Genomic DNA, 9536 nt, shown 5'->3' with positions numbered 1-9536 from the left:
ATTGCATTCTCAATTATTGCCTTGCTAGGCTGCCTCCCCACACTGGGTCTTGGCAGCACTAGCTTCTGTATAAATCACATTCCAGCAGCATAACTGCAGAGCTTCAGGGATCATTTTGGAATTCTAGGATGTTAATGCATCAGGTTTTGTTCCAAGCAGTGAGCCACCTCCTGGGATTTGGGAATCTCTCTTTTAAATCCAGATAGTATTAATGAGCTAGTAAGGGCTTTTGACCCCTTTGACTCATTCTTTCACTCCCAGGAGTGCTCCGAGCTTCGGAACCAGCCACTTCTGCACCGTACTGCAGCCAGCCATGGGTTTGATATAGCCGCAGGCTTTCAATGCAACTGGTTCCGCTTGGAGGCATTCTAACTGCACTTTCTTTTTTTCTAAATTACTGACTAAACCTAAAAGTGCTTTGCACATGAAAGATCTGGGTAAATGTTTGTGGTTATTTTGGTGTCAATTGCACTGGTGTCCTATATAATGGAATTTGACCGGGAGCTGTCTCTAATTCTATTCCCAAGCAAAAACTACACTAGGAGGCCAAGGAGGTGGCCCTTGAGGGGGAAGACAATAAGAAAGACACATACTGGCAAGCAGTTGAATACCATTTAGCCTTTTAGCCAGGCCTGTCTCTCAATGCCCCTAACTTACATTTATTCACTTGAAAATGCCTCTTGTGACACTTACTGTGTCAGGGTCTGTTCTAAATGGTTTACAAACAATTTGCTCTTATGCATTGTTTTTTATGTCCACTTTACAATAAGCAACCTAGGACAACAGAGGTTAGGAAACTTGTCCAAAGTCATAGAAGCAAGTAAATGCTCATCACAGGTTTTGAAGTTGTGATGTCTGGCTCCAGGGATGATAAACTTGGCGACTGTACCATTCATTCTCTCCTCCACAGTTATTCCTGCCACTCTAACTTGGCCCAAACAGTCTATTCTATCTAGAATGTCTGTTCTCCCACTCTTCACGCTTCTAAATCCTAGCTCCTCTGTTTTTTTTTTTTTTTTTTTTAATTGTGAGATGGTGTCTCGCTCTGTCACCCAGGCTGGAGTGCAGGGGCCCAATCTCCGCTCACTGCAACCTCCGCCTCCTGGGTTCAAGCAATTGTCTCTGCCTCAGCCTCCCAAGTAGCTGGGATTACAGGCATCCACCACCACGCCTGGCTAATTTTTGTATTTTTAGTAGAGACGGGGTTTTGCCACACTGGTCTCGAACTCCTGACCTCAGGAGATCCACCGGCCTCGACCTCCCAGAGTGCTGGGATAACAGGTGTGAGCCACTATGCCCAGTCAACCAGCTCCTCTTTCAAGACCAACTTAATTCTTACATGGAGCCTTCCTGAACATTCTGCACCACACTGCAGTTGACTGGCTCCAAACTCCAATAACACAATCATTTGGAGAGTGACATTCAGAGCTAGACTGTAGAAATCTAGTTCAAACCTCAGCTCTGCCACTTAGTAGTTTTATGACCTCAGGTAAATAGCTTAAATTCCATGAGCCTAAGTTTTCTGATCTTTAAAATGAAAATAAATATCGCACCAACCTCATAGGGCTATTGAGAAGATTAATAAAATAACCATATCTAAATTACTTAGACTAGTGCTTGGCTCATACTATATGATATATATACATTATTATTAATTATTATTTCAAAATTCCCTCTCCTATTGCTTTTGGGTCACAGCTCTATTTTACTTGTATGATTCCTATACACTGTGAGACTGTACTCAACTTGGAGACGAAGATTGGCTATGTTCTGTTTTTAAAAAAATTCTCCAGCACTTAGATTAGCATACTGCAGACAGTAGGCACTTATTTAATAGCAATAATTAATTAATGAGTTGAAGGTAGCTAATATTATATCCCTGGCCACCAGGATTCAAAACTCTCTCTCACTGAGTTGCATATAAATATAAGTTGTAGGACCTCATCGATTTTGGAACAGTGCGTCTCAGGGGTAATTGAATCTGTCTTAGCTTAAAGAAGACCCATGCCTAAACAAGTTAACAAAGGCAGTCATTAATTGAGGTGGCCCAGTATGTAACTGTGGGATTTAAATATCAATAATCTGTAAAGAAGCACAATCCTCCAAGAATTTGTGGCTCCTGATGTCATCTTTTAAAGCTTTGCTTTCCAGTTTTGTCTTCAGGGAGGCCGCACTTATTTACGATGGGGATTCTGCAGACAAACCCTGCCAGGTGATTGAGAAACCATTTGAAGACCGATGCCTCATTATCACTGGCAGCACAGAGCAAAGGACCACTTAGAAAACCTTCTCTATTATTTGACTATTTGGAACCCTAGGTTTATTGATTTCAGAATATTTTTAATGAATCATCCTGAAGTCAATAAAGTTCCATGACTTGCAAGAGGTCAGGAAGCTACTGCAAGGCTCTGGGTCTGCAGCAGAAGGGCCCTCTGCAAGACAGCTGTCTGCTGCTCCTGCTGAAAATCTAGGCAAGAGTTTAATTCCATGCCAGCTCAGAGACCTCAAGTATTCAGCAGAAGTCTTTGTGCGTGCTCAGCTTGAAGAGGAAGAGGCTCCTGCAGTCTTCCTCTGAGCACTTAACATCTGTTTGTTATTGTTTTTGGGAAGTTAGCCTTCTGGAAGGAGGAAGATAAGGAATTATGGAGAGTGGAAACTACTTTTCTTACAACAGAAAGAACAGAACTGCAACATGTTCATAAATACCTTCTGGTTTTTCAAGACACTTTTTCTGGAGCATGGACGTCATCTCTCATCCCTGAGGTCATCAGCAGGGCTCCAAATAGCTATGATATTGACAGTGAGGCACCAGGAAGCAGATGTGGTTCCAGGTGGTTCTATTCCACTATTCTCCATTCCTCCATCTAAAAACATTCCCTGCCTGCTTTCACATAGAATCCTGTGTAGCTGACAAATCCTTTTTTCATGTTCAAGGACAGGTTTGGGATGAGTTGATATTTCATCTCCTGCTGGCCTGACTGCCCCAAATGAACTATACATTAAATGGCATCCCACAGGCTACTCAGAAAGGAATTGCTTTTCTTTGGCCCTATATCTTGGGAGGTGTGGAGGAAAGGAGATGACTAGTTAGGTCCGGGGAAAGAGAAGCAGTGAGTGTTGACCTCCCCTGGAGGTGCCTTTGCTATGGTGGCAAGGTTGTTGTGTGTGTCACTTGTGAGTGCTTTCCCTACTCCTTCTAAAATAACACTCTCCCTAACTCGCTTAAGTCATGCTTAGTATTGTAAACATTGTTAAGAACATCCATTTCCTTGTTACACCTCAGCACCTTTCCCATAACATTACATCCTTCTTCACACATTTTATCTCATTAGATATTTCACACAGTGTAAATCACCACCACTAATCATCTCTCAATTTGTATCGCTAATCTCCATGTGAACAAGCAGATCCCTGGTCCAGCTCTCATCATCTCACACTCAGGTGATGGTGGTTGACCTGGACATTCTGCCTCTCTGTTCTTTGCACACCAGTTTATCCTGTCCTCTCCAGCAGATTAATCTTGTCACTGCTTTCCTCAAGAAAATTCAGTGGCTCCCCTTTGTCTACTAAAAGTTAAGCTTAGCCTGATTTTTAAGGCCTTCTGGAATCTAGCTCTAATCTCTCTTTTCTGCCAGTCCCTCATCTACACTTTGTAATTCTCATCATTCCCAAATTTGCACCACACTTCTGACTCCTTGCATTGCCACATAACATATTCTCATCTTGGAATGTGCAACACCCTCTTCCTTCCTTCATCTGTCAAGTCATTTGGCAAAGAAAGGGCGCCCCCACCCTCCTAACTTCTGCTATCTTACAGAATTTGGTTTGTTTTAATCACTTCACATTATTACCCACTGCCTTGTTTGCAGAGATGTTGAGTGCCTCCTACCTACATGACTGGACCCTTAGCTTGATGCCCTATGACGCAGAACATCAGGTCTGTCACCCCCACCCCAGGTTCTCACCTTCCCACATTGGTACTTACCTACATAGGGCCAGGAATATAACAGGTGCTTCAGAAACATTTTAAAAATAAATGATATACATTCCAGCTGTGGGAACTAGGTGGTTGAGATACAATCCTGTGCAAAAGAAAAATAATCACATCTATTTTATTGTCAGTATTATTGTTGGAAACACATCTTGAGGTACCAACCCCTAGTGGAATCTTTCTTTATCTGTGGTGGCCCTGAGGGAAGGAGCTCCCCCATCCCCCAGTGTCAGGAGGGGGAACCGCCTTGACCTTTGCAAACATGATTTTCTCCACTTGGAATACCTTCCTTTCCTTTCTCCATACGCTCTTTCTCAGTTTTCAGTACCCACACTAAATATTGTTGTCCTGATGAATCCTTTGGCAGATCTCATCTCTCCATTGTCACTCTATGTGACTAAAAAATACATAAAAGTAATAGTTACCATAATCTCCTGGGACATCTATGACCAGATTATTTTGAGAGTATGAACCTTATTCCATCTGTGGACCTGTGGCCTGTTGGAAATGGCCCTGTGTGCTGCTTTCTACTAGTCACAGAAAGGTGCGGGCTTTGAGCCTCTCTTCCTGGCTCTTGCTTCATGCAGCGCACTGGCATTCTGGTTTTCTCCACTCCTACCTGCGAGATCTGCATAGCTGAGTTGAAAATGTGAGCCTCTTCTTCAGTGACCAAGGATCAAAGATGGTGGACATTGAAGACGGTGCCTTCTGTCCCGTGTGTGACAGCCTTTGGCCCTCTGCACGCCTCTGCTTTGGAGTTCTGTCTTCTCAGATACAAGATTCTCTGTAGATCCTTGAGGGCGCTGAGCCTGCCCCTAGCATGGAAATGGGACTCAGGATCTGTGTACTCGCTGAATGAACTGAATGAACAATGGCCAGAGGCTTTCTTCCCCGTTTCAATGTATATTCCCATTCTTGGGTGCGTGGCTATGTATACTTCATGATTAAGAGGAACTGAAGTAGGTCAAATGAGGGAAAACAATGAACAAATCCATAACTTATATTTAGGTTTAAGCTACTCACTCTTTTCACCTGAGGTCCTCTGTGCTTAAATCAAACTTTCAGGCATTTGTGGCCAAACATAGAACCTTTGTGATAGCTGCATCCTGGAGGTTTTTCCTAAATCCAGGTCCAACACTGCTTTTTTCTTTAAATGTGATCCACTAACTCAGTCTTTGTCTTTAATTTTTATTTTTACTTCCTCTAGCTCCATTATATCCCTTGGGGTTATTCAGTGTGGGAGGCACCATAAGCCCTAGGCCCGATGACCTTTACTCATGATCACCATGTGGAAGTGAAATGGGGAAACAAGCAATACATACTCTAACCCCGCTGAAATTACAAAAGGGTAACAATTTCAGGCATGCCCTGGCTCCCATTCCCGGCTTCTTTCTAATATGGTAGCTGGCTGAGGGAGGTATTGTGGCCCAGCAATTGCTTTGTATCCCAACCCAGACACCTGTTAATCGAGAGGGACTTGGGTGACCTCTGTGCCCTTTGTGTCCTCGGTTTTATCATCTGCAAAAACAGGACACTGCTATTTGCCTCTCAGGGTGGGTGTGAGTGTCCCATAGGTTGCCACCTCTATGCTCTTAGCCCAGGGTCTGTGATGTCCTTACAGCTCAGACCATGGTAGTTAAAGTCGCTACAGCAGCTCTGGATTGGCAGCCATGGGAGGTACTGGGTGCAGGGTTAGCTTTTTCTTTCTAGAAGTGGTGCTTGCAGAAACCCTGTTCCCTCCTCTCCCAGCCTCCTCCCCTTGTTAGCGCTATTTCTCGAGCCAAGGGCGAGAACAAATTGCCTAGAGCTTTGCTAGCTTCAGCAACTCAAGCCAAGGAGCCAACAGGCAGAGGTCAAAGCCAAAGTCTTACTATGGGGAGAAATGCAAGTTGGTTTTCTTGAGGCGGCCTCTGGAAGGAGTCCAGATACTCATAATTGCTAAGAATATATGTTGCTTATTTACTTGGGTACCTGGACTCGACTTTAGGCAGCCATGGCTCCTGACTTCTGTTTCTTTCCTCCATGACAGGACAGGAGCCTGACCTCCCCAGATATCAAAGACGAAACCATACACTCTTTGGAATGAAAAAATGAATGAGTGAGTGAGTGAATGAATGAATGCATACATGAACATAAGAAAGATAAGGCCTCCTACAGTAATCCCAAATCTAAACCTACAGCATTTCCTTGGAAGGACAATGTATATGTAAATAGAGCCATCACCTTCAAAATGTCAGGCCTCAGAAGGTTCCTCTGCAGTTTACAAAGGCCACTTCACATTTCTCCACGAAATTCCAAAACTTGACAGCTTTCTTAAACACAGTCATGGCATGGAATAAAAGCTTCAAAAATTATGCTGTTTGAGAAGTAAACTATTTACTGTTCAGAGGAAAAATTTTCAATGTACTTCACAGCTATCAAAATGGAACCCGATGACACAACAGTGATTTAAAATGTAAATGAGACCTTTAGTCATGCAGATAAGGGACCAGCCATGGCCCAAGTCTAGTTCTTCTGAGGAAGAAGCTAAATCTTAGCCATTCAAGGGACAGACTAATGTACTTACTGGGTCACTGGCTGGACCAGGCCTTCGACTACCTACATTTGCAGGATTTAATGCCACTTCCACCCACTGGCTCCCAAAGATATAAAGCAGGTACTACAAATGCCTGCCTGAAGACACATTTTCACAACAGAAGTATGCAGTACATGAAGTCTAGGTTAATAATCAAAGCAGATGTTCTTAAAAAAGGAAGGCAGTCATGCGCTGTATAACAAAGTTATGATCAATGACAGACTGCATATACTACAGTGGTCCATAGGCTGAAAATGTACTGAAAAATTCCTATCGCCTAGTGATACCTTAGCTGTGGGAACATTGTAGAACAATGCATTGCTTGTGTGTTTGTGGTGATGCTGGTGTAAACGAACCTATTGCACTGCCAGTCTTATAAAGTATAGCACATACAATTACATACAATACATAATACTTAATAATAAATGACTGTATTACTGGGTTATTTATTTGCTACATTATATATTTTATCACTATGTAGAGTGTACTCCTGCTTCTATATATAAAAAATAACTGTAAAACAGCTGAGGCAGGTCCTTCAGGAAATATTCCAGAAGAAGGCATTGTTATCATTGGAGATGAAAGCTTTGTGTGGGTTATTAACCCTGAAGTCCTTCCAATGGGACAAGACATGGAGGTGGAAGACAGTGATAATGGTGATCCTGATCCTGTATAGGCCTGGGCTAATGAGTGTTTGTGTCTTAGTTTTTTTTTTTTTTTTTTTTGAGACGGAGTCTCGCTCTGTCGCCCAGGCTGGAGTGCAGTGGCGCGATCTCGGCTCACTGCAGGCTCCGCCCCCCGGGGTTCACGCCATTCTCCTGCCTCAGCCTCCCGAGTAGCTGGGACTACAGGCCCCGCTACCTCGCCCGGCTAATTTTTTGTATTTTTAGTAGAGATGGGGTTTCACTGTGTTAGCCAGGATGGTCTCGATCCCCTGACCTCGTGATCCACCCGCCTCGGCCTCCCAAAGTGCTGGGATTACAGGTGTGAGCCACCGCGCCTGGCCTTGTGTCTTAGTTTTTAACAAAAAAGTTTACAAAGTAAAATAAATAAATAAATAAATAAATATATAAAACTTATATAATAAGGATATAAAGAAAGAATTTTTTTTTTTTTTTTGGGAGATGGAGTCTCTCTGTTGCCCAGGCTGGAATGTAGTGGCATGATCTCAGCTCACTGCAACCTCCACCTCCAGGGTTCAAGTGATTCTCCTGCCTCAGCCTCCCAAGTAGCTGTGACTATCGGCGTGCGCCAACACGCCCGGCTAATTTTTGTGGTTTTAGTAGAGATGGGGTTTCCCCATGTTGGCCAGGCTGGTCTCAAACTCCTGATCTCAGGTGATCCACCTGCCTCGGCCTACTAAAGTGCTGGGAATACAGGCATGAGCCACTGTGCCCAGCCCAGAAAATATTTTTGTACAGCTCTACAATGTGTTCATGTTTTAAGCAAGTGTTATTACAAAAGAGTCCAAAAGTTTTAAAATAGTAAAAAGTCTCTAAAGTAAAAAAATTACATATTTACAAAAGCTAAGGTTAATTTAGTATTAAAGAAAACAATTTGTATAACTTAAGTGTAGCCTTATATATATATGGTGTTTAGAAAGTCTAAAGTGGTATACAGTTGTGTCCTAGGCCTCCACATTCATCACTCACTCACTGACTTACCCAGAGGAACTCTGAGTTCTGTAAGCTCCATTTATAGTTAAGTGCCCTATACAGATGTGCTGTTTTTTAATTGTTATTACCGTATTTTTACTGTAACTTTTCTGTGTTTAGATATGCAAATACTTGCCACTGTGTTACAATCGCTCACTGTATTTAACATAGTGACATGCTGTCCAAATTTGTAGCCTAGGAGTGATAGGCTACACCATATAGCCTAGGCATATAGTAGGCTATACCACTTAGGTTTGTGTAAGTACACTCTATGACATTCACATAAACGATGAAATTTCCTAAGGATGCATTTCTCAGAACAGATCCCTGTCGTTAAGCAATGCATGACTGTATGTGACCTCCAGGAATAGAAGGTTGTCTGTGAACTACATTGTGATTTGTGCTTTGTGCCCACTGAGTCCCCTCCCTGTGGGTATAACTGCATCTCAGTCTTTGGAGGTACATATGTGCATATGTAACACTCTAGGGCTCTATGCCCTAAGAGTACGTCTGATTCAATAAACCTCAAACATTCCTGTTTAATTTTGTAAGATGAAGAGGACCCGGCAGGACTCCTTCATGAGCAGTGGTCAACACCGTCTGCACAGATCCATTAGCTCCCCCTTAGCTGTGGGCACCTGCTGCCCCGGGGCCTGGCGGTTGACTTGGGGTTGGTGCCAGAGCCTGTGGAGCCGGAGCTGTTCATAGGTTTCCTGATAGGAGCTGGCAGACGTTGCCTGGGTAGGGGTAGAACTAGATGACCTCTAAGTTCCCTTCTAATCTTAAGATCCCATGACAGGCATAGATGACATATTCTGCAGCATTAAACTATCAACCTTCTTCCACATAGAGCTATAACACTAAAGACTTTTTGGAAGTCTCTCCCACTTTTTTTCAGAATACCAGTCCAAAGTGCATGGCTTTAGATAGTAATATCCATTTTGGTCTTTTTTTTAAATTGCACCATAGTATTAATATATTTATATGAAAACACAGGATCATATATAAAATGACTCATACACAAAAAATTGTGAACACTTCATAAATGCAGCGAAGATACTCAAGCTCTAGGCAGGGCTAAGTCAAACTTATTTTTTAGAGGAATATAGAAACCAGTAAAATAAACCAAGGAAATCACCTATGTATATAAAATTCTGGGTACAATTTAGTTCAATTCAGTTCAATGAATATATATTGAGTGCTTACTAAATGCTGGGCACTGTGCTAGGCTTCAGATCCATTCAAAGAAGGCCTGTTTGTTTCAGGGATTGGGAGTTTTCACAGGGGTAGGGAGGGAGAAATCAGACCAAGAGCA

The 9536-nt window shown here is 42.8% G+C and overlaps 2 annotated features.

Annotated features, from left to right (window-relative positions):
* Positions 5984–6760: an enhancer, noted in NCBI's record as "NANOG-H3K4me1 hESC enhancer chr2:23169347-23170123 (GRCh37/hg19 assembly coordinates)". NCBI's record gives its function as "activates a minimal SCP1, AML or CMV promoter by ChIP-STARR-seq in naive H9 embryonic stem cells {active_cell/tissue: H9 hESC(naive)}" and the evidence as "EXISTENCE:reporter gene assay evidence [ECO:0000049][PMID:30033119]".
* Positions 6855–7354: an enhancer, noted in NCBI's record as "H3K4me1 hESC enhancer chr2:23168753-23169252 (GRCh37/hg19 assembly coordinates)". NCBI's record gives its function as "activates a minimal SCP1, AML or CMV promoter by ChIP-STARR-seq in primed H9 embryonic stem cells {active_cell/tissue: H9 hESC(primed)}" and the evidence as "EXISTENCE:reporter gene assay evidence [ECO:0000049][PMID:30033119]".

The sequence above is a fragment of the Homo sapiens genome, chromosome 2 (genome assembly GCF_000001405.40).
Source record: "Homo sapiens chromosome 2, GRCh38.p14 Primary Assembly".
Taxonomy (NCBI): domain Eukaryota; kingdom Metazoa; phylum Chordata; class Mammalia; order Primates; family Hominidae; genus Homo; species Homo sapiens.
This window is presented reverse-complemented; position numbering and strand designations above follow the sequence as displayed.